The 24945-nt window shown below is 39.3% G+C and overlaps 1 protein-coding gene across 3 annotated transcripts in view; it reads right to left on the bottom strand.

The window, feature by feature from the left end:
• MAP7D3 (MAP7 domain containing 3) overlaps window positions 1-24945 on the bottom strand; it is a 43263-nt gene that overhangs the window by 1963 nt on the left and 16355 nt on the right. For 2 of the 3 annotated variants that reach the window (NM_001173516.1, NM_024597.4), the window contains exons 7-19: window positions 21062-21157; window positions 16362-17038; window positions 15657-15784; window positions 15203-15411; window positions 13441-13576; window positions 12102-12249; window positions 10727-10831; window positions 9645-9698; window positions 7211-7304; window positions 5583-5781; window positions 4411-4489; window positions 4216-4313; window positions 1632-3311 (exon numbers count right to left, since the gene is read on the bottom strand). In NM_001173516.1, the coding sequence (NP_001166987.1) occupies window positions 4248-4313; window positions 4411-4489; window positions 5583-5781; window positions 7211-7304; window positions 9645-9698; window positions 10727-10831; window positions 12102-12249; window positions 13441-13576; window positions 15203-15411; window positions 15657-15784; window positions 16362-17038; window positions 21062-21157 (1991 nt within the window). In that variant the 3' untranslated portion in view covers window positions 1632-3311; window positions 4216-4247. Of the gene's footprint in view, window positions 1-1631; window positions 3312-4215; window positions 4314-4410; window positions 4490-5582; window positions 5782-7210; window positions 7305-9644; window positions 9699-10726; window positions 10832-12101; window positions 12250-13440; window positions 13577-15202; window positions 15412-15656; window positions 15785-16361; window positions 17039-21061; window positions 21158-24945 lie in introns of those variants that run through there. The other variant, NM_001173517.2, reaches the window with a different exon arrangement.

Here is a 24945-nt window from a genome sequence, read left to right on the forward strand (position 1 = left end):
CAGAGGTCCCCAACCCTTGGGCCACGGACTGGTGCTGGTCTGTGACCTGTTAGGAACTGGGTCACAGAGCAGGAGGTGAGTGGCAGGAGAGCAAATCTTCATCTGTATTTACTGTGGCTCCCCATCACTTGCATTGTTGCCTGAGCTCGGCCTCCTGTCAGAGCAGTGGTGGCATTAGATTCTCATAGAAGTGAGAACCCTATTGTGAACCACGCATGTGAGGGATCTAGGTTGTGTGCTTCTCATGAGAGTCTAATGTCTGACGGTCTGTCACTGTCTCCCATCACCCCCAGATGGGACCGTCTAGTTGCAGGAAAACAAGCTCAGGGCTCCCACTGATTCTACATTATGGTGAGTTGTATAATTACTTCATTATATATTACAATGTAATAATAGAAATGAAGTGCACAATAAATGTAATGCACTTGAGTCATCCTAAAACCACCACACCATCCCCACCAAAGGTTCATGGAAAATTTGTCTTCCACAAAACCAGTTCCTGGTGCCAAAAAGGTTGGGGACTGCTGGAGTAAAGCATGACTTAAGATTGGAAACTAAACACTCACAGGCAGATCAGAACATTTGTTTTGCCACTCACAGTAACAGTGATGTCATTAAGAGATGAGTATAAAAGAGCACAATTAACTGCCCAGACTTTTCAAAGCAAGAGGGTTTTCCTCATCCAAGGTGAGCACTGAATGTGAGAATTAAAGGGGCAAGGGGAGGAGGGAAAGGGGAGTGACTGCTTAAAGGACACAGATTTTCTTTTCAGGGTGATGAAAATGTTCCAGAACTAGACAGTGGGGATAGCTGCACAGCCTTGTGAATATACACTTTAAAATGGTTACTTTTAGGTTATATGATTTTTATTGGGATTAAAAAAAGCAAGATCAGCACCATAAACCAGGGCAAGAAAGAAAAAACAAAATATTTTTTTTAAAAAAATCAAAAGATACTGCAGTAATAAGCCTCAACTTATACAACAGAACCATCACAGGGAAGAGTAACAAGCACTGAAATAGTTGCAGGAAGACAACCAGAGCTTGAAAACTCACATCTAGGCTGGGTGTGGTGGCTCATGCCTGTAATCCCAGCACTTTTGGAGGCTGAGGCAGGAAGATCACTTGAGGCCAGGAGTGCAAGACCAGCCTAGGCAACATAGCAAGACCCTATCTCTAAAAAAAAAAAAAAAAAAAAAAGAAAAAAAGAGAAGAAGAAAGAAGAAGAAGAAGAAAGAAGAAAGAAGAAAGAAGACGAAGAGAAAAAAAAAAAAGCCAGGTATGGTGCCATGACTGTGGTCCCAGCTACTCAGGAGGCTAAGGTGGGAGGATTGCATGAACCTCAGAGTTTGAGGCTGCAGTGAGCTATGATCGTGCCACTGTACTCCAGCCTTGGCCACAGAGTGAGACCTTGTCTCTAAAACAAACAAACAAACAAAAAAACTCACATCTTTCTATTCCAGAAGTGGAACTCTGCCAAATCACCAACTGGATGAAGAGGGAAATCAGGGGATTTGATCCCTGTTCATTCAATTTGCTGGCTGCCTGTGTTCATAGCTCAGCCAACAATTGGTGTTGCCTTTATACCACCACCAGTACACTTTTTTTAGTATTATAATGAAAAAACCCTTGTTTTATCTCCAAAGTTTATTTTATATAGCACACATTTATATGGAACTGTAACAGTGTTTCAACACAAGACATTTGTGCAGAAAAATAACAGGAACTCTTTTGTTAGGATGATTGTCTCTGTTTTATACATGAAAGAGCTAGTATATAAAAATAGTTTTTAAACCAAAGGTAACCTTCTCTATTCTATATCAAAAGTACAATACTCTGAGTGGCAAAGAACCAGGGAATCTGAAAGAATTACCTCCTTTTACTAATCCAAGACTGGCAGCCAAAAGGAACACTGGCCTGCTTCAGACTATTTACGATTCAACACTGAAAACTCATTAGGAGAATTAATCTGCATTTGAATTTTATGGAATCATATACTGTGTGTGCATACATACGTGTATGTACATCTGTGTGCATTTCTGTGTGCCCATCACACGAACTCACTGGCAGCCAGTGGCTAGAGAAAGGCAAGCAAATTTTGGTTGTATCTCAAGCCTGAGTGTATACTCAACGACAGAACTGGAGAGTACAGGCAGAAAAGTACTTTAAACATTTAGAGGAATTAAACATACCCCACGGGACAACAGCCATATACTCCTTTATGTACACAATAAAAATAATATATGTTTCTGTAGATAAACACCAATATGTCCTTCAAAAGGAAACACTGACAAGAGCATGAAAGGTGCTGACTGTTCCAAGATGGGGCTTTACAGGACTCCCAGCATTTCAGGTTATTAGTGCCTGTGTACTCACTGGCACAGATGGGTAGAGTTAAAAATATACATATATCACAGTAAAATACAATTTGCTGGATTTTGCAACCTTTGGTATTTTTATATTAGAAACAATCTGACAGCTCTTGTGAGCGATCCTGCGGCCCTTGCATAATCTATTCTGTTCTCTACAAGATCAACTGTGAGTTTTTAGCTGTCAAAATTGTCACTGGTACACAGAAAAAGCATTACTTGGCTGGGTGCAGTGGCTCACACCTGTAATCCCAACACTTTGGGAGGCCAAGACGGGTGGATCTCTTGAGGCCAGGATTTCGAGACTAGCCTGGTGAACATGGTAAAACCCTATCTCTACTAAAATACAAAAAAATTAGCCAGGTGTGGTGGCACATGCCTGTAATCCCAGCTACTGGGGAGGCTGAGACAGGAGAATTGCTTGAGATGAGGAGGCGGAGGTTGCAGTGAGCCGAGATTGTGCCACTGCACTGCAGCCTGGGCGACAGGGCAAGACTCCGTCTCAAAAAAAAAAAAAAGAAAAAGAAAAAGAAAAAGCATTACTTTAAGATTTCAAATATATACTGAAAGAGAATTAGTTCTGCAATCAGATTCTTCTAGAAACTCCACAGTTACAGTTTCAGGAAAGCATCCTTGATGCACTCACTCCAGCAAACACATTGGTGGGACAACACAAGAATGAGAGACAATGATGATTTTCCAAAGAAAACAAAAACCACTCTTTACTTAGAACTCTTGCTTAGACACAAGAGAATAAGATGACTTTAACATCTGAGATATACATCAAAGTGGCCTTTTGACAGTTTCTTTCAATTTTTCGGTGTCACTTCCTTTACCAGGTTCAAGTCAGAAGCAGAAAAATTTGAGGACTGATGGGCCCAGGAGTTGAGTTATCCAGAGTGGAAGATGTATTCATCTCCCAGGCTGAGTAAGGTTTACATATCTGACCAGAGGGAAAAGTAAAAGAAAGATCAGTAGAGAAGATGCTAGTCTCACAGCAACTTGTCCCTGGCCTCCCTTCAGGGCACACGCCCAGGACTCTCAGCAGCCCCTCTGGAGTTGCTGACACACTGGTCCTATAAATGTCCTTCACTTCCCCAGTCCCCAACCAGGCCCAAGGTGCTTCTCAATTTCAAAGAGAACTTCTCAAGGAAAGAAAAACAAGAGGCTTCTGGTTTTGGAAACAGGTTGAGGCTTATTCCGAAGACCTCCCTAATCTTCTGCCCTAAGCAACTGTCTGTGTGCTTGCCAAGCAACCAGCAGACCAGGAGCTCAGAGGAGTCTGAGATGCAAGCTTGAAAAGATCATTTTTTTTTTTGAGACAGAGTCTTGTTCTGTCACCCAGGCTAGAGTGCAGTGGCAGGATCTCGGCTCACTGCAACCTCCGCCTCCTGGGTTCAAGTGATTCTCCTGCCTCAGCCTCCAAAGTAGCCGGGATTACAGGCATGCATTACCACACCCGGCTAATTTTTGTATTTTTAGTAGAGACAGGGTTTCACCATGTTGGCCAGGCTGGTCTCAAACTCCTGACCTCAAGTGATCTGCCCGCCTTGGCCTCCCAAAGTGCTGGGATTACAGGCGTAAGCCACTGCACCTGGCCAGAACTTATTTTTTATATCCGGCCTGAAATGTGGTACATAAAAATTAGAATCAAGTCATCTACTCTCTACTTTCTCAAAACCAACTTAATGGAAGACTCTCACATCATTCCTGCAGACCCACAACTGTCTTCTCCTTCTCTTCCAAAGCTATATGGTGCAAAGACTGCCCTGGAATGGCTAGAAGGAGGGGAGCGGGTTCAGGGTCAATTGCCTTTCAAGAAAAAGGTAGATGAGATGAGGACTTACCCAAATGAGGAGAAACAGGTTTGCTTCTTCTCTTATTGTCTAAAGGTGTCTGAGGACTTTGGCAAGATGTCATGGAATCCTTCAGATTTTGTTTGTGCCTGTCAGGAGAAAAATGTGACAAAGATAGTTCTGTGTGACTTAAACAATGTTGGTGATCTTGTCACAGATACGCTGCTGCTCATAATTCATACTAACAGAGGATCTGCTGGTGGTGTTGGTTTCATCCGCCTTTCTGGTTTTCGTTGTGTGACTGGTCATTCTTTTGGAAGATGGTCTGGAAAGAGACAGTTTGGTTAGAATCCCAATTATTCCCAAACCAAGGCTCTGGCCTAAAAGAAGCTTTGTCCTTTAATTAACTTCTAAGAAATGCCTTGGAATTAAAAAACATTTCAGAATCATAGAACAGGATGACTGAAAGGAACCCTAGAGATCACAGGACACACTGATTTTCAAACTGTATTCCAGAAAGCCCTAGGTCCCACGGAAGCACCAGGAGTAGGAGCAGCTAAGCACGCAGGACTCCAGAAACCATGCCCCTCCCTTACATTGGTCAAGGATGCGGCCAGTGAGGTGTAGTAACAGAATTGGTACAGGTCCTCTAGCTCTAATGCTCCTTCCACATCATCACACCTCTCAGCAGACTCCTGTTCCTGTGGGCCTTGCAGGTGAATGTCTTCTCAGGCAATTGCCCATGTAGCATTCCTTTCCATGAATCAGTTCCTGCTCTCCTGACCTAACTTTTGACCTTGTTTCCTTACATTGACAATGAGCATATTATGGCCGGGTGTGGTGGCTTACGCCTGTAATCCCAGCACTTTGGGAGGCCGAGGTGGGCAGATCACTTGAGCCAAGGAGGTTCAAGACCAGCCTGGCCAACATGGTGAAACCTCAACTCTTAAAAAAAAAATGAAAAATAAAAAAATAATAAAATGAGGATATTACTGTCACACTCACAGTTGTGATGATAATTGAAATAGGTAATATAAAATGCCTGGTATATAGCAATCACTCAATAAATGTCTTCTTGCCCAACTTTATGAGATAACATTAACCAATGTGAACAAAAGTAAAGTTTGGAGCCAGATGTATCTGGAATTGAATTTGGGCTCTGCCCTTTAATAGCAGGATATTGGGCAAATAAAGCCCCTAGCCTCTCTGACCCTCAGTCTCCTTGTCTTTATACATGGGGATGATGATCCTTACCTAGCAAGGCTGTTGTGGGGATGAGTTTATTTCCGTTAAGTCAAATATGTGACATGGTGTTTGGTACAAACTAAGAGCACAAGAGATCATATTTATCTAGCATTCTAAGATTGTCAATCATAATCCTGCCAAGTTTATTTAGATAAGCTGGCTAAGTGACTCACCTTGAAACTACTTCCTGTATTGAAGTGTCTTTCATGCTTTTTTGTCTGAAGTTTTTCAAATCGCCATTAAAATATGTTTTTGGCTCTTTACGGACCTGGCTGGTACCATCTTCTAGAAATACCAGCTTGTGTGTCATTTTCTTGGCATTGTTGAACGGCATTTTAAATTTGGTAGGTGAGCCTGTGCCATTTAGAATGGCTAGGAAAAAAAATTACACAATTAAATATGGAGTTTCAATAAAGAATTCAAGAAAAAGTGAAGGCTATGATCCTGATGGGATGGGGAGTGGGTACTGCCTGCCTGAAGGCAGGAAGAGTCAAGCAGCAGTACTCCTGGGAGGCAGGCCCAGCAGTCACAGAGTTTCCCAAGCCATGTCCCAGGCCACTGCTCAGCACACACACTCACCCTGCCCTTGAGGCACCAAGAGGCTACGTTTAAGGAATCTGTCCTTTTTCCTTTGCTAGGAAAGAATAATGACCAGAGATAAGACTGCTCCAGATTTTCACCCCTCCCCTGATCACTCACCTAGACAATTCTGTTTGTGCATTTCGTCTTACCTCTAATTTTTCTTTTTTTTGAGACGGGAATCTCGCTCTGTTGCCCAGGCTGGAGTGCAGTGGCACGATCTCCACTCACTGCAAGCTCCACCTCCAGGGTTCACGCCATTCTCCTGCCTCAGCTTCCCAAGTAGCTGGGACTACAGGCGCCCGCCACCACGCCTGGCTAATTTTTTGTATTTTTAGTAGAGACGGGGTTTCACCGTGTTAGCCAGGATGGTCTCGATTTCCTGACCTCGTGATCCGCCCACCTCGGCCTCCCAAAGTGCTGGGATTACAGGCGTGAGCCACTGCCCTGCCTCATCTTACCTCTAATATTACCTTCTATCTTCGGCTTTCCTCAATGCCCTAAGGCAGACTGAGGGGCTCTTACTGCTATGTTCTCATTGTATTTTCACCAAACTTCTTTCAACCCAATCATCTTGTGGCAGTATTATGGTTTGCTCATATGTTTGTCTTCCCACTGGCTATGGCTCCTTCAAGCTGAGGCCATGTCTTTTCACCCCTTCATCCCCAGCACCTAGTAGAGGACCTGACTTTCCTGTTCAACATCCACTGGCAGGAAAAATATGGACAAATAGTGTTTTCTCAAATGGCAATTACTGCTACTACAAAGTGGTTCCTACTTGTAAGGGAGTCAATGATACATTTGAGAAAGCATTCTTATTATGACATGGTTTCAATTTTTCTTAATGAAGTGGAAAGTGGAATTCCACCTGTGGTCAACATGGATGCCTTGAGGAGCTGAGCTATGAAATGCTGGCAATCCTCACATTCAACTGAGAAAGAGCTGCTGTCTACAGTCCATTAGCATGGTCTTTAAAATAATAAGCAGCAGCAGCTGATATTTATTGAGAGTTTATGTGTGAGACACTGTTTTTAGCATTACATGGATTTACCTCACTGAAATCTCATATCCACTCTAGGAAAAGGACATTAGCTTCCCCTTTTTCAGATGGGAAAAACTCAGCACAGAAAGGTTAAGTGACCTGCCCAAAGCCACACAGCTCAAAAGCAGAGGAGCCCCTGGATATGAACCTAAGCAGTCTAGCTCCTAAATGGTGACTAACCTGATGGAAACATTTCATTCAATGAGTCCTTGTCGCTTTCTTCGTTGTCAGCCTCAGCCTCTTCATATATGTCATGGCTGGATGTTTCTGTGACCTACGATTAAAAAAGGAAATCTTGATTATGCCTAATATTCAATCATCCTGGTTTAGAATTTCAACAAAGTCTGACTTCAAAGCTGGACTGATGGCTAATTTTTGTCATTTCAACGAAAAGGTAAAAAAATATAACCTCTTTTAACTGGCCCCAAGAATCTACGGGGGATAGGGACAGGTGCCCGTAGCTGCGTCTTTTAGCTAGGAAGACATTCAAGAATGAAAGATTTCCCTGGGCAGGAGCCAAGGGAATATAACTTTGGGTTGGCATTTGTTCTCTGCCTGCTCAGAACCTTAACTAAGGCGGGATGGGACTAGTCAGTGAATAGCTAAAAAGTTTTTGACTGTTTTTTTTTTTTTTTTTGGGAGAGGGGAGGACAAAGCCTCACTCTGTTGCCCAAGATGGAGTGCAGTGGCACGATCATAGCTCACTGCAGCCTCAGACTTTTGGACTCGAGTGATCTCCCGTCTCAGCCTCCCAAGTAGCTGGGACTATAGGCATGTGCCAACACACCTGGCTAATTTTTAAACTGTTTTATAGAGACAAGGTCTCACTGTGTTGTTCAGGCTGGTCTTGAGCTCCTGGGCTCAAGAGATCCTCCTGCCTTGGCCTCCCAAAGTGCTGGGATTACCAGCGTGAGCCACCGCACCCAGCCTTTGGTTGCTGCTTGAGGGAAAACTCCCAATGAGTTGAATGAACTTTGACATGATGACTCCCAGCGCTTTTTGAAAATGGCATTTCTACTCTAAATTCTCATGTCATTTAATGCAAATGACCACAACTGGGTAATTACAAACAGACAAAATATCAGTCTTGTAGCATAGAATGTAAAAAGCACAGAATCTGGAGGAAAAAGGCCTTGAATACATGTGCTCCATCAAAAGACATGACATTGGGGTAAGCAAATAATGATGAAACAGACCACAAAGACACTCACCATAAGGGAAAAAATGATAAATTTGAACTTGTTAAAATGAAGAACTTCTGTCTGGTTCATCAATAGACATTAGGAGAGTGTGAGGCAAACTATGGCATGGAAGAAGATACCTGCAATATATATATCCAAAGGACTCCTAACCAGTGTAGGTAAAAATACCTACAATTCAATCAGAAAAAGGCAGGTGACAAAATAGGAAAATGGGCAAATGACTTGAAAAGGTACTTCACCAAAGCAAATCTCCAACAGGCCACTAAGCATTTATGAAAAGGTGCCTAACTTCATTAGTCATCAGAAAATACTGGTAAATTCAAGAACATTAAAATCAGAATGCAGGGTGTGGTGGCTCAAGCCTGCAATCCCAGCACTTTGGGTGGCTGAAGCGGGTGCATCACTTGAGCCCAGGAGTTCAAGGCCAGCCTAGACAACATGGCAAAATCCTGTTTCTACAAAAAAATAAATAAATAAAAAATAAAAAATTAGCCAGGTGTGGTGGCATGCACCTGTAGTCTCAGCTACTTGGAAGGGTGAGATGGGTGGATTGCTTGAGCTTGGGAGGTGGAGGCTGCAGTGAGCCATGATTGCGCCACTGTGTTCCTGCCTGGGTGACAGAGCAAGACTCTTATCTCAAAAAAAAAAAAAAAAAAAAAAAAAGCTTCTATCCAGAAGAAGACAACATTAAGAAAAGATAAACTGGCTGGGCATGGTGGCTCACACCTGTAATCCTAGCACTTTGGGAGGCTAAGGCAGGTGGATAACCTAAGGTCAGGATTTCGAGACCAGTCTGGCCAACATGTTGAAACCCTGTCTCTAATAGTAATACAAAAATAGCTAGGCATGGTGGTGCATGCCTGTAATCCCAGTTACTCAGGAGGCTGAGGCAGGAGAATCACTTGAACCCAGGAGGTGGAGGTTGCAGTGAGCCGAGATCACACCACTACACTCTGGCCTGGGTGACAGAGCGGGACTCTGTCTCAAAAAAAAAAAGAGAGAAATGATCAGCGTTTGAGGTGATGGATTTGCTAATTATCCTGATTTGATCATTACACATTGTATACAAAAAAAAAAAAGAAAAAAAGAAAAAGAAAAGATAAGCTGTAAACTGGGAGAAGGTATCTGCAACACATAACCAAAAAAGAAGCAGTATCTATAACATTTAAAGAACCACAATGAGACAAATCAACCCAAAAGTCTTGGGCAAAAGATAAAAAAAAACATTTCACACAAAAGAAATATGAGAGCTAACTAAAGATATGAAAACATGGTCAACCTTGTTGATAATCAGGGAAATGCAAATGTAATACTTTATTTCATTACCACCAGATTGGGTAAAGTGAAAAACTCGGCAATAATGTGAAACAAGAGGCATTCTTATACACTGCTGGTAGGAGTATGGAGACTACCTTTGAGGCATTCACATCTGTCTTTCTTGTCCGCTTCATAATTTCTTCTATTCTCTATTTAAAGGAAAATAAAAATTCAAACATGAAAACAGATTAGAAACCAAACAGTTGTCCTAAAGGAGTTGATTATCCCCATTTCACAGAGGTGCACAATGGCAGTGATTGCTCCAAAACCACAAATATTACCAACAAAAGGCTTACGGTGGCAGTTGAGTCCCCTATCCCAATCCCAGTTTCAGCTATAAAATGCCCTGAATGATGACCGCTGTATTTGTTATAACACAAACATTCAAATGACAACATCTCACTCCTAATTTTGCATATGCAGAAATTCATTAGACTAAGCATATATTATTGCGAACCAATTAGAGCTTTTAACATAATTTTAGTCTTTAGTCTTCAGCTGATTCCTGAAGCCAATGTTAATGAAAATAATACACCTCAATGATGCCACACTGTTTTGTGTTAATGAAGAGAGAAGATAGGAGGTGGAGGAGAAATATATTTCTAGGGAAGGACAGGAATTCTCTCTCCTGTGCACACTTCTTTCCCTGCAGTGAGGAGAGTTGCAGCTCCCTGGCCCCCTCAAGGTGACCAATCTACTACCAGATAGGCCTTGCAGCAACTCAGCCTGGACCAGGGCTGCAGATGAGCTCACATGTGGCCCTACCTTAAAAATAGCCTGCACCTTGGCCTCTCAAAGAGGCCTACAGTTTGTGCTTCTCCCCATGTAGTTGCTGCAATTTCCAGCCAGTTTAGAAGAAAGTCTTAACTTCTACCAACCCCTACCATGACTGGAGTCCTTCTGCTCAGAGAAGTTTTGTTACCAGAGGTTTGATATAGTGAGGCATCACTGTAATGGCCAATGGCCACCAAGGGTCCATGAGAGGGAGGCATGATCAGTAAGAGGACAGCCCTCTATGTAGGAGAAGTCAGATCCTTGGATAAGGAAGAGAATCGAGTGGGAAAACCACCAGGAACTAGCATATATCAGATTTGTGATTTTTAAAAACATGCTGATATCAGGTGCCCAACATTGTTTTAAACACAGAATCAAGTCCCCCCAAACAGAGAGCGAGTACCTTTTTCCTTTCTAACCGTTCTTGTAAATTTTGTAACATAATTCTCTCGTGTTCTTTCTTGCGTTTGTCAGCTTCCTCTTGAGCTTTTATTTTGGCGTCCCCTTTCTAGGAAATTTGCATAAAAATATCATTCAATCTCAAGATACCTGAGTGACATCAGAGAACTCTAGTTTAAAAATTTCAATGGTAAATGTTATCTAGTATAACAAAAGAGTGTAACCTTTTGAATGAGGGTTCCTATATCATGATATTTGCGGATTGTCAATTTTCAAAGCACTAGTTAGAATGCACAAAGCTAGGCTAAATGTTATCCTGAGGATTCAGGACCACAGGGTCATTGTTATGAACATCACACCATCCTAATTCAAAGTATGTGACTGTGGAGCTATCCATTAACACAGTAACAGGAGCCAACAGCCTGACATTTCTCAAAAGCACTGAGAGGATTCTTGAAGGCACCCTCCTGAGAAATGCAAGCATAAACAATCATATATAAAACATATGACCAATGCTGGTGAATAATACACTAAAAACTGGAAATATAAATTGGGCTATGGTAATAATTCAAACTGAGTATAGTCTGAGCTCAGTTTGGGCATTTATTTACCCAGTGACTTGACTTTAGATAGATGAGACATTCTTCAGTTAATGATTTTAAACTTGTAGAAGTATGTATGGTTTATCTTATCTGTTACAGGGGTGTAAGGTCCAGTTGATGGAGTTGTATATGGTACCACAGAATGCAAGATGGGGGAAACCAATGTAGGATGTGGAATCTGTTAAAGCAATTTGGATTTCAAATTAAGGACTACTAATCTACAATTTGCTGTTTTCTGCTTATTTCACTAGGAAAACATTCTATGGTTTTCTGAGGGTGGCTGACAATGACCTGCAGTGGTACTGGGTAATAGAGACTGTAACATAAAAATGCAGCCAGAGGTTGGGCGCAGTGGCTTACACCTGTAATCCTAGCACTTTGGGAAGCTGAGGCGGGCGGATCACCTGAGGTCAGGAGTTCAAGACCAGCCTGGCCAACATGGTAAAACCCCATCTCTACCAAAAATACAAAACTGAGCTGAGCGTGGTGTCAGATGCCTGTAATCCCAGCTACTTGGGAGGCTGAGGCAGGAGAATGGCTTGAACCTGGGAGGCAGAGGTTGCAGTGAGCCAAGATTGTGCCATTGCACTCCAGCCTGGCTGAGAAGAGTGAAACTCCATCTCAAAATTAATAAATAAATAAATAAAATAAAAAATAAAATGCAGCCAGAGAATCTGCTCATGTCTTCTTTCTCAGAGACAGAGATTTTTGCTCTGGGTTCCATCTGAACTTTATAATCTGGTTCTCATCCCCTGATAAAGTGTCAAGTCAGCAAACCTGCAGTGGTGCTTCCTGGTCTTCCTGATCCAGCCATCCTTTCTTCTTTTTAGTCTCATTTTGTTGCTGCCCATCTTTGAGTTTCAAGTGGTCTTCTGCTTGGCCTCCAACTGCTTCCTTTGCCATGTCTTTTGATTTCTTAATGACCCTGAGAGTATTTAAATAATTGTTAGTATTTATCTTGATTGCTATCATACTCAGCTTGCACTAGTGAGTTTTTATAGTGAAACTTCCTGTGTATAGTAATATAATTTATATCCACACCAGAGTCACTACATCTTCTGTGTTGTTACTATATAGGAATTACACAATTCCACCCCTTTTTAAAGAGAAAAACTAGCCCTCGGGAGCAGAAAAATATTTCAATCAAGTAATAGATTACTTTGCTTGTTAAAAAACACACATACGTGAGAGGAACTCATTCCTTAACTGTCTTTGAGACATGACATCCCCTAAAAGGCCTTCTTTACACGTGCTCACACCCAATCTCTCGTGGGGGTAACAGAGATAATTTAGAGGAGAGTCTGGTGGTTCCCTAGTATTCAGCACTTTCAAATGCTAAATCAGCTCTGTTTATATGAAGCGATGAATAATATTCTTCAAGTTAGAGGTTTTTTTTGTAATTCATAATATTCCCTTCTTTTTCCCAAGCCCATATAAGCATATGGAAAATGTGTGATTATTTCAAATAACACTAAATACTTAAAAGCAAATTCAGTACTGTTGTTATTCCCTGCAGCCAGTGGACAGAGGTTTACATTATAAGGCCCGACATAAAATAGTCCTCAAGATGGAGGAACAAGAAACCTTTGCTAGAATTTGAATGCACACAACTGTACATGAGATTTGCTGCCCACAAAGGAAATCCTTCTAGCAATGACTCACTGGCCTGATGAGACACAGGTGTCACAAAGATCACAGAAAAAGTAAAACATGAGTAAGTATAATTTTCAGGTTTAAAAATCCTGATGTTACAAGTCTTTTAAATAAAGGGCTGACACTAGTGAACACGAACTGATCTGTTCTTATATACCACTCTGGTGCTGAGAGATCAAATCCTGAATGTGAGTTTGGTCTCTGTGCATCCTCCTAGCACACCTTAATGGCACATGATGTATGGAGGCTAAAAAGGACTGTGCCATTTATCCACATACCAGGGTCCTTAGCCATTTACAAGGGCTTGAAATGCTTCCTATGCAGGCAATGAGGCACTTCTGATCCTCACTGAAGAAAGTCAATTGTTCTTTGAGAATTTATAACTTGAGGGTAAAATTTTGACTTTCAAAAATTTGGGCCCCACTCAAGATTTATAGTATAGGAAGGAAGACTTTGTGCTGACCTTTGCTGCATTTCTTCCCGTTGTCTTTCTTCTTCCTCTTTTTCTCTTTGTTCACGAGCAAGGCGGCGCAATTCTGTCAAAATTTTTGTTGCCGCCTCGGCATTCATAATACCTGCAGTACTCTTATTACCAGACTCTAGTTTAAATAAATATGTGCAACAGTTAAGAGAGCTAATCAACTCTCACTCCAACAAAGAAGTGCAACACAATCCAAAACATTAAAATATATATATATGTGCGTAGTCCAAAATTTATAAATCACAAGCAAACTATAGGTGATTATCTAACAGATTTTGTTCAAACTGCACCCCCAACAACAGCAGAAGCATTTTGTTTCTTTTTAACACCTACTTGTTCCAAAATGAAATAATGTACTTCTACTTTCGTTTTAGTGGTTTTGAGATAACTGAATCAACTGACCCCATGGGAAAAGAGTAAGAAATACTGAATATAGAGGAAGACAAGCTTATGCTCGGTCCAAACAAAGGGTACAAATATCTTAAATACTCAAACAAATATGTATCTGGTATACATTTGAGATCTGTGCATCATTTTTACTATATGATTACTATTTAGCTAAACCTTGATAATAGTGTATACATTTGGTTGATCATAGAGTAGCTAACTGTAGATAACAAAACCAAGACTATCAGTAAAATAAGGTGAGTACACAGAGGCATATGATGATATTTTGGTCTATATAACTACTAATTTATTTTAAATAAATCATATGAAAATGAGAAGACATATCAGGAATGAATAATCTGTAATTAAAAGATTGTTTCTGTTACAAAAAATTCACTGTGGAATTCCGTAAAAGAGCAAAATTCCCCAGTGTGTTTTTGAAATTAAGTAATGTCCATGGGTATTAAGAATGCACGTAACAGGCAAAATAGCAATATGGCACTTTCAGGAATACTACACAAATCAAGGGACACCACATTATGGCCTATATATAAAAACGAACCTAAATCTTAGGAAAAACCTGCTCATCCACGAGTGGATGTGCTCTCTCCAAGAACCATCACTATCAGAGCTAGAAGGGATCTCAGGAATCACCTAGACCAAACCTCTCATCCGACCTGTGCTTTTTTTTGATATGGGGTCTCGCTCTCTCATCCAGACTAGAGTGTAAAGGCACTATCACGGCTCACTGCAGCCTCCACCTCCTGGTCTCAGGCAATCCTCCTACCTCAGCCTCCCTACTAGCTGGGACTACAGATGTGTACCACCTTAAGCTAGGTGGTTATGGTATAATATGGCTTACTCTTATCCTCAACCCCCTAACCGAATATATAGCCTACCCTTTCCACATCGGGCTAATTTTTTTTTTTGTGTGTGTATATATATATATATATATATATATATATATTTTTTTTTTTTTTGTAGAAACAGGGGTCTCTCTCCTATGTTGCCTGGGCTGGTCTCAAACTCCTTGGCTCAAGCAATCCTCTCACCTCAGCCTCCCAAAGTGCTGGGATTATAGGCGTGAGCTACCATGCTTGGCCAGACCTATGCTTTTAAAAGCAGTTCCAAAAATGGATTTTTCAAAACAAAGGGGTGAGAAGAAAGCTTTGGCAAGGACAAACAAACAGAGAAGATACATTCCAATGTACCAGAGATTGGTTAGATTCTCTCTTTCTAAAAGGAAAATAATTCCCTAAAGTTCTCTCAATTGGGGAATAAAATGAAGTGAACCTTTCCCAGAATACAGTAAGATTTTCTGTGTTGCTAAGATAAACTTCTTAGTGAAAGAACTTACCTTCATAGATCATATGCCTTTGGCTCAAAGCCTCACATCTGTTAGTGGTTTTAGAAACTGTTTCTTTTTTCTTTTTGACAGTACTTGATGCACTTTGCACAGACAGGGTGTGTTGAATAGGCATTATTTTATAAGGAAAAGAAGTCTGTGGTGACTGTTTTGAAATAAGTGGTAATGGTGATGGAGGGCAGTTCTTTTGGATTTGCCTGCTGAGAAAAAGTAATACACATTTGCTAATTAATTTTCAGTGTACAATTTCATAAAATATAAGATGCTATTATGAGATGACATTATAATCAGGGAATTTTTCTGAAAAATAAATCCCTTTTTACAGGCTTTTTTCCCTTTACATTTGTGTTACCATGCATACTATATTATTTCACTCATCAAACATTGACATGGAATTTGTTCTAGTAAAACGCCTATCAGGAACAGTTGCGAATAAGCTGCTTACTTAGTGCTGATGGGAGACGGCAGACCACAAGCATTTTCAGGAGATGATGACCATTTATAACACTCAGTGTATGATGATAGACGCTTCTTGGCAATAGGGATTAAGGCCTGTTTGTCCATTTCTGATTTCTGAACAGATAAACACAGTATGGTAAATTACTAACAAACAATTCTTTTACTGCAGCTGGCTTTTTTTTTTTTTTTGAAGAGAAAAACATTCTGAATAAAACACAATTAGAATTCTTTAAACTGCAATTTTCTTTTAGAGTATGAGAATCAGGACATTGATATTTGCTTCTGGACTAACAATTTACATTACACAATTCCAGGAGATCACAGAAATAACAGGTTTAAAAGAAATATTATCCTTCAAAACCAAACTCAATTTCCAAATCCTAACTCAGGGTTTAAAACATTTCTCAAAAAACATTTCTTCAGAGTTTAGAAACAGAGTTCATATAAACTTACATTTTCTCCCTTCTAATAAAAACTCACTAATATTTCAGCTTTGGAGGAAAAGTGGTACAATGAACATCAGAGAATTTTAAATTCCTAGTTTAAGTGAGTTAACCTATTTTATTAATTATATTGCAGAATATTGTAAATAATATGCTGGTTATGTTGTAAAATCTGACCTATCGTGAACTATACAACAAAATATACATATTTTAATAGAAAATTTGTCAATAACAGGCACTTGACAAACCTTTGGAGCGTCTCTCGCTTTTGCCTTGGGAGATGCTTCCATGCTTGCTTCAAGGGATGTCTTGGGGGATGCTTTCACCATCGCCTCAGGAGATGCCTCCATGCTCTCCTTGGGTGACCCTTTCACACTCTCCTTGGGGGCTACTTCTGCGCTCCCCTTGGGAGGTGCTTCCAGGCTCCCCTCTGGGGCTGCTTCCACGCTCACCTCTGGCAGTGCTTCCAGACTCACTTCCGGGGGTGCTTCCAGGCTCGCCTCCGGGGATGCTACTATGCTCACCTTGGGAACTGTTTCCAGGTCCACCTTCGGGAGTGCTTCTATGCTCAACTCGGGGGATGCGTCCATGCTCATCTCAGAATCATATGTGCTCACCACAGGCGACACGTCCACGCTCACCACAGGGAATGAGTCCGTGCTCACCTCAGGGGCCATGCCCACACCTGCCTTGGGGGACGCTTCCATGCTTGTGTTGCAGAATACTTCCACATTCACCTGGGGGGGTGCATCCACACTTGCCTTGGGAGGTGTCTCTACTTTCTCCAAGGGAGACTCTTCTACTTTTGTTTGAGGAGGTATTTTCATTGTCGACATGGGAAACATAACAGCCCTCAATTCGTCGCTAGTACATTTACGCAAGGGTACAGTGACATACTGCATTACATAATTGGTGACGCCTGTAACTGAATGAGGACAGAGCATGAAATTCCCTAAGTTAGAAATCTGACAAGAAAAGGATGCACCAGGTACACAGTATAAGAACAGGAACACAGAAAAGAGATTGTTTATTAGGAAAGCACAGGGATTACACACAACACAGGAAATGCTTAGTGAAATGGATGACAGACACAGGACAGAACTATCACAAAGTCACTACTTCGGAAGCAACATTAACAACAGTCGTTGTAAAGGCAATAGTCTATTACAGATGAAAATAAGATGCTTCTCCAAAGTTGATGTTTGCAATAAGCTGTTTCTATTTTAATCATACTATATTTCAGAATAATTTTCACAAAAAATTACAAGATCTTCAACCCTTTCTAAAAGTAATCTAAACATCTTCGCCAGGGCTAGAGATCTTACCATTATAGGTGATTATGTAAGATACTCCATATTTTAATGTTTTAGAATAGAATGTAAGAAAGAGCATTTTCTCACCCATACTAAAAACTTAATAAGACATTAATCAGAGTGGGTTGGATCTCCAAGGTCCTTTCCACCTTTAACAATCTAATTTTATTTTTCCTATGAAACGGACGAAAATGATAATATTTGGTGCCAGGTAAGATGGAAGAAAGCGATTAATACCAATGTTTGGAACCAGGCAACCTCATCACAACTGGTGGGAGTATAGATTTGTATATTTTCCCTGGGGAGCATAAAAAGTACATACTGTTTGTTCCAGCAATTCTACTTCTAGGTTTACCCTTAGGAAAAAAAAAATTACATAAATATATAAAAATGCATGTATAAAGTTGCTAATTACTGCACTGTTTATAATACTGAAACAATTGAAAATACCATCCAAATGTTCCAAAGGAAATGTAGACCATATTAAGGCAGTCACTAAGAGCAATAATATGAAATATTTTGGACATAGAAGATGGAAAGCAGGTTATTTCATTTTGTGAAAAAAAATAAATGCAAAGAAAAATATGAAGTTACCAGTGAGCACAGGGATAATGGGGGATTAGATTAAAAACATCTTCTACACGAAATATTTATTGCTTAAACGATTAATTTTTTTTTTTTTTTGAGATGGAGTCTCGCTCTATCACCCAGGCTGGAGTGCAGTGGCGCAATCTTGGCTCACTGCAACCTCCGCCTCCCAGGTTCAAGCAATTCTCCTGCCTCAGACTCCCAAGTAGCTGGGATTACAGACATGTGCCACCACACCCGGAAAATTTTGTATTTTTAGTAGAGACGGGGTTTCACCATGTTGGCCAGTCTGGTCTTGAACTCTTGACCTCAAGTGATCCACCTGCCTCAGCCTCCCAAAGTGCTGGCATTACAGGCGTGAGACACCGCACCTGGCCTAATTAAACATTTTTCAAAAGGTATTTGGAGGTGGCTTCCTTAAGACCTGGTAAATTAAACTAAAAAAAAAAAAAAAAAAAAAAAAAAAAAGACCTGGTTAAATTTATCTGCCATCTCATCTTTAAGTATGGGTGGCAAATTTTCACCTAATCTTACCCCAAATTACCAAAGATAGACTACTTATGAATAAAGCTTTTAGTTAAATTAAATGTTATCTTTTAGTCCCTCACTTTTAGTGGAGAAAGCATTTTATTTACATATCTACATGTGCCTAAACAGTCACATTACACCAACAGTTTGTGCTACAGAAAATATAGTATGACTGGATTTGTATTAGCTATAAACTTTTAAGACAAAATATTGAGATTTTTTGGATGGTGGTAATAGAAATATCTCACCATAGATTGGTGGGAAAGGGAGACTGGCAGAAAATAACCTGACATACACATAATTGGGCATAAAAAAGTCAGGAATTAGAACAAAAGAAATAAGGCTGCAGTACAAGAAAGTCTGTGATAGCATTTAGATGTGTTTTACTAATCATATAAATACTAACAGAGAAAAAGCAAAGGGAGTGGGATATATACTGGAAAGGAAAAAGTGAAGGGGAAAAAAAAGAAAAAAAATCATAGGAACAATGCATTAGTCCTTTCCATTACTGGGTGGGGGGGGTGGTCTTGCTATCCAAAGGCAAGTCTAATGCTATATGTAAACTATAAATGAGAAAGTCCACACAACTCTGAAGATGTTTCATGTTAAGAACAATCTTTAGGTCTCTAACTAAAAGCTGAAGGGTGGCTCTATGCTATTCTTCCATATTTTAGGTGAAAAAAGGAAGGTAGAGTAGGAAACTTTCTCCCTTGAAATGAGTGAAGGTTTTCTATATTTTTAAAACCCATAGAACTTTAAAATTTAACAAACACCTTCAAAGTTAGCTATCTCATCCTACAAATTACCTGTCTCCCATATAACTGCCCTATCATGTTAGAAGTCATAAAATAAATATGCAACATCAAATGCTGGGTAAAATCACTAATATGGTAACTACGGATTCAAACTATTTTGATGCCTAAATGCAACAAATTCAGTGATGAAGCCTGCTTTGAAATGCAAACACTTAACACCTCCTGGCTTTCCACCATATGCCTGTTACCTGGATCATCTTTTCCAGGGCTGGATAATGAAGCAGCACTTCTGCTTCTGGCTAATGACGCTTTTGTTGGGCTGAACAGACAACTGATTAAATTATTCTCTTGAGAACTGATATATGAGCAACGAGATATATGATGAGAACAAATCCAAAGGATTCCATTGGAGGTCTCACAAATGCAAAGCAAGAAAGAGCAATGCAAACTGCTCTCAACAGCAGCTTTCCCAGCAACACAAAACACTGAACACAGTCATCTGACTGGACTGCACTGTCAAAGAAGAGATCCTCAGAATAAAAGGAGAAAGGCCACAGCATACATACCAAAATAACTCTAAGGAAAGAATCTAGGTAACATTTCAAACAGAGCCATTCCCCACCGTATGAAATTTATGGAGGAACTCACACTTGAGGAAAAAAGTTGCACATGGCAAAACAACTTTGAGAAAGATTCCTACAGATAGACAGCACTGAAAATCATAATGGTCAAGTCCACTGCCAAAGGCTCCAAGGAAGTGAATAAACACTTTTGTTAAAAGTAAATTTTGTTGTAAATATCTTGCTCCAATAAATCTTCATGTTCATAAAGATCCCTGTGTCAATGACATTTGTTCTAATAGGATTTGACCTGAATCAATTAGGTGGAAGGTCTTCTGTAAAGGAATGGTTTGGTATGAAACAAAAAGCAACAAATACACGTGAAAGGAAAATGCTAGGGAAAGGTGTTAGAAAGAAACTACTTTATGGCCAGGCGCGGTGGCTCACACCTGTAATCCCAGCACTTTGGGAGGCTGAGACAGGCGGATCATCTGAGGTCAGGAGTTCAAGACCAGCCTGACCAACATGGCAAAACCCCATTTCTACTAAAAATACAAAAATTAGCCAGGCGTGGTGGCAGGCGCCTATAATCCCAGCTACTCGGGAAGCTGAGGCGGGAGAATCGCTTGAACCCGGGAGGTGGAGGTTGCAGTGAGCTGAGATGGCGCCACTGCCCTCCAGCCTGGGCAACAGAGCGAGACTCTATTTCAAAAAAAAAAGAAAGAAAGAAAGAAAAGAAACTACTTTATGTAAAGAAGTACTTTAGTAATCACTGTGAAATTCTGTGAATAATCAGCAGTGAAAATATGCACAAAGGATATATGTGGGTAATGCTATGAAGCAAGGGCAAAGCTTTGAAGTTCGAAATGTGGCCGGGTATTTAAACTTCCAAATACAAATTAATGAAATACTGGAAGTGAATCAAATCCTCCAGTACACTCCTATCTATACCAATATTCTGTGATTTATTTCCCCAGCTGCATTATCCACCCCTTGTCAGATGATGGCAGGAATTATATACTTCATTTAAAGACAGATTTTTCTGGCTTTAGCCAAATAAGCATGGCACCAAAGCACATTTTTTCAGTCTAAGAAGGAATATTTTGGCTTCCAATTTTGGGAATGATTTTTCAAGCAATTCAATGTTGACATAAAATACCTCTTTTAAATCACTATTTAAAATTTGTATTTAGAAGTAACTAACCACGTGGCTTCCTTTCGGCTTGTTCTTTATCAGTAGACGAATGTAGGTTACTATCTCTTCTATTTAAAGATGAGCTTCTCTCCTTGTCTGTTTTCCCTAGAGAGCAAGTACAAAAGGAATATTAGTTTTCATAAACTACTAATTATCTCAGGAGTGAGATACTCCTTTTTCAAACATTTTTTATGTTCTCTACCTTGCTTATAAGACTTAATTTCAAATATTATGCAGAGATTCTATATCCCCAAGCTTAAAATGAGTTTATTCTTTATCTGAAATGAAAAAAAATTTAGAAAATGGTAAAAATTAAGAGGTAAAATATCTGACACTATCTGACATCAAAGTTCCCAAATTATAAACATACAACCCTTTAGACATGATGCCTAATACTTAAAAGTAATTTACACTTTAGTTATAACTAGTATTTTTGTTATATATGCATATATTTAAAAAAGATATATACGTATACACACATGTACACACACATGTGCACACACCAGTATAAAATGATGAAAACATGAAACTCCAATATCAATCATTTAGATAAAAAGATATTTGTTCTTAACATAAAGAAAACAAATTATCTGAGTTATACATGTATCAACTTGTAGGCTCTAACAGACTGTCAGTGTTTTACCCTGCGGAGCCATTCTTTTGATATCAGGTGTAAAGTTATTGATAGCTGTAGCATCTGATTTCTGCATCATGGCCAAAAAGTGGCTTTCAGAGGCTCAGGTCCTGGACCTTACAAGTTAAATAGTTATAACTAGTATTTTTAAAATAAAAATGAATATTAACAATTGGTATAAATGCCACGATTTAAGCAAACCAAGGAGAAATAATCTGCTTCCATGTAGACACTTTCATTTCACTTGAGATACCCTCGCTCAGAATACTGAGAAATGTCTGTTTAAAAAATAATTTCTCTTTTGGGGATTTGTAAACTAAAGTACATGTTGACAACACAGTATCATCGGAAAATTCCTTGAATTAATAATGTGATTGAGCAGCATGAACCACAGAGGTGGTTAGATCATGTGATTAAGTCGGTATCCTTCATTAGCATACTGCAAAAAATGACAAAATGGTGTGAGCAGTTATTATGAATCAGCAATGAGTAGAAAAAAATAGACTACTTGAATCAACCCAGATTTAAAATAGTTACTTAAAATATTACAGGTTAGATTATGAACTTCATCTGAGTTTAAAATGTTGATCTCTCTGGATTGACCAGGTTTCATTTCAAGTTAAAGGTAAGACATTGTCAATATGGATTTTATTTCCTAGAAATCATTAATTATAGCATTCATCATTTCAGAGTGTGCAACATACTGTACCTTTAAGAAAATATTTCACAAAGTGTCTTCCACACATACCTTCTTGTATTAAAAGCTAATAAAGAAATCATTTTAAAAGTTTTATTTGGAATTGCTCCTTCACAGTACAATTTAACTAATTATTATCTTGAAGTCATAATCTGTCCCTTCTCTTTTTTTTATTATACTTTAAGTTTTAGGGTACATGTGCACAATGTGCAGGTTTGTGACATATGTATACATGTGCCATGTTGGTGTGCTGCACCCATTAACTCATCATTTAACATTAGGTATATCTCCTAATGCCATCCCTCCCCCCTCCCCACACCCCACAACAGGCCCCGGTGTGTGATGTTCCCCTTCCTGTGTCCATGTGTTCTCCTTGCTCAATTCCCACCTATGAGTGAGAACATGCATTGTTTGGTTTTTTGTCCTTGCGATAGTTTGCTGAGAATGATGGTTTCCAGTTTCATCCATGTTCCTACAAAGGACATGAACTCATCATTTTTTATGGCTGCATAGTATTCCATGGTGTATATGTGCCACATTTTCTTAATCCAGTCTATCATTGATGGACATTTGGGTTGGTTCCAAGTCTTTGCTATTGTGAATAGTGCCGCAATAAAAATACGTGTGCATGTGTCTTTATAGCAGCATGATTTATAATCCTTTGGGTATATACCCAGTAATGGGATGGCTGGGTCAAATGGTGTTTCTAGTTCTAGATTCCTGAGGAATCGCCACACTGACTACATGTCTCATTAATAAGGCTTTTGCTCATTATACTAAATATGTAATAAATGTCTATGAGATAAATCTTTGCTAATTCCTGAAAGCAATTAGATAGTAAAACAGAGTCAATGCTTGTGGAACAATTAAGATATATTAAAATGAAAGTACATAAACATGGCATTGCAATTAATGTTATCTAATTTTTCTAAAGGATTTAGTTGGTGAATAATAAATTAATTTTACCATATTATAAGCAAGGTGCCAGAGAAAATCTTCCCATATTAATCTATGAACAAACCCAGACTATATATAAAAGTGCTTTGGGAAAGCACATTGAGGGTGGAGGTGGTAAGTGGATGAACTTTTCTCAGACCAATACAAGAGAAAATGTGATATACTCAGACTGACAATAAAAGACCTCTCAAGCTCATCACTGAAATTTTAAGAGTCCTAAAAGTACAAATAACATAATGTAAGTTGGAACAAAAATCCTTTCGCCCTAGAAATCCTTTTCAACATATTAAAAACTATATTGTTTTAGGCAAAAATGGAAATCTTTTCCATAAGGTTAACTACTGCTACAATTAATTATACTTTAAATTGTATCCAAAATCTTTTGCTGTACTGGAATTGTATAGCAATCAGCATTGCTCAAAAATTGTCGAGATACCTAATAATGCAAAACAAACATTTTAAAATTCAAACTATAATTATGCCTTATTCAATTCACAAGGCACAAAAGCCATCTTTCCTCATCATTTTTACTGGCTAAGTTTAAGGGAATGATGTGGAATTTGTGCTCTTTTTCCTCTCAAGAACATTCCTTTTTTTCCTCTAGAAAGAAAAGGGATCTTTTTTTTGGATTGATGGGTATAGTTGCCTAATCCATTTCAATTATCAGTGAGAGGCACCATGTGCTACAAGCCAGACATGGTTATTGACACACACTTGGGTATAGATTTTTCTTTTAATAAGGAACACTAATTAAAAGGACAAACACCAGAAACAAAAAGACATTTGAATTATTCATAGTAGATAACTTCACTGTATTTGAAACAACTCTGTATTGCCATTAGGAAGAGTTGTAAAGTGGAACTTGGCAATACGTCTATCATTAAACATCATTATCACATTATTTGCTTTTGGGGGAAAACATTGACTTATAAATGAAAGGTACAACTTAAATATCATGATCCATCTATCAAATGACCAAAATATAAACCACAGAAAAGGATGTTAGAGTAGAAATCACTGAATTTCTTGGAGTCTTAACTATAAAACAAGGAAGGCAATTATACTTGTCTGTCAATTTTCTAAGATAATTGTGAATAACAAATATGATATATGTAATGCAGATCAACCTGTCCACTGCTATATATATGCTATTATTTTTCTAAAATGAGGTAATATTCACAATACTTAATGGAAATTGAATAACTGTCTAACCAGTCTGTAGAAAACACAATTTCATTTATATGTTGGTAGAATATGAACTAATCTTCAAATAAATAATTATGCCACTTAATGGCAGTGTCTTTTGACCAAAATATGTTTCAGTTTCAGCTACTGAGGTCCAATAATCCCATCTGATATGATTAACACAAACATCATGAAACAAGTATATTGATGAAAATACAAGGCCAGGCATGGTGGCTCACGCCTGTAATCCCAGCACTTTGGGAGGCCGAGGAAGGTGGATCACTTGAGGTCAGGAGTTCAAGACCAGCCTGGCCAACATGGTGAAACCCCGTCTCTACCAAAAGTACAAAAGTTAGCTGGGCGTGGTGATGCAGGTCTGTAATTCCAGCTACTTGGGAGGCTGAGGCACGAGAATCGCTT

The sequence above is a fragment of the Homo sapiens genome, chromosome X, assembly GCF_000001405.40.
Source record: "Homo sapiens chromosome X, GRCh38.p14 Primary Assembly".
Classification (NCBI taxonomy): domain Eukaryota; kingdom Metazoa; phylum Chordata; class Mammalia; order Primates; family Hominidae; genus Homo; species Homo sapiens.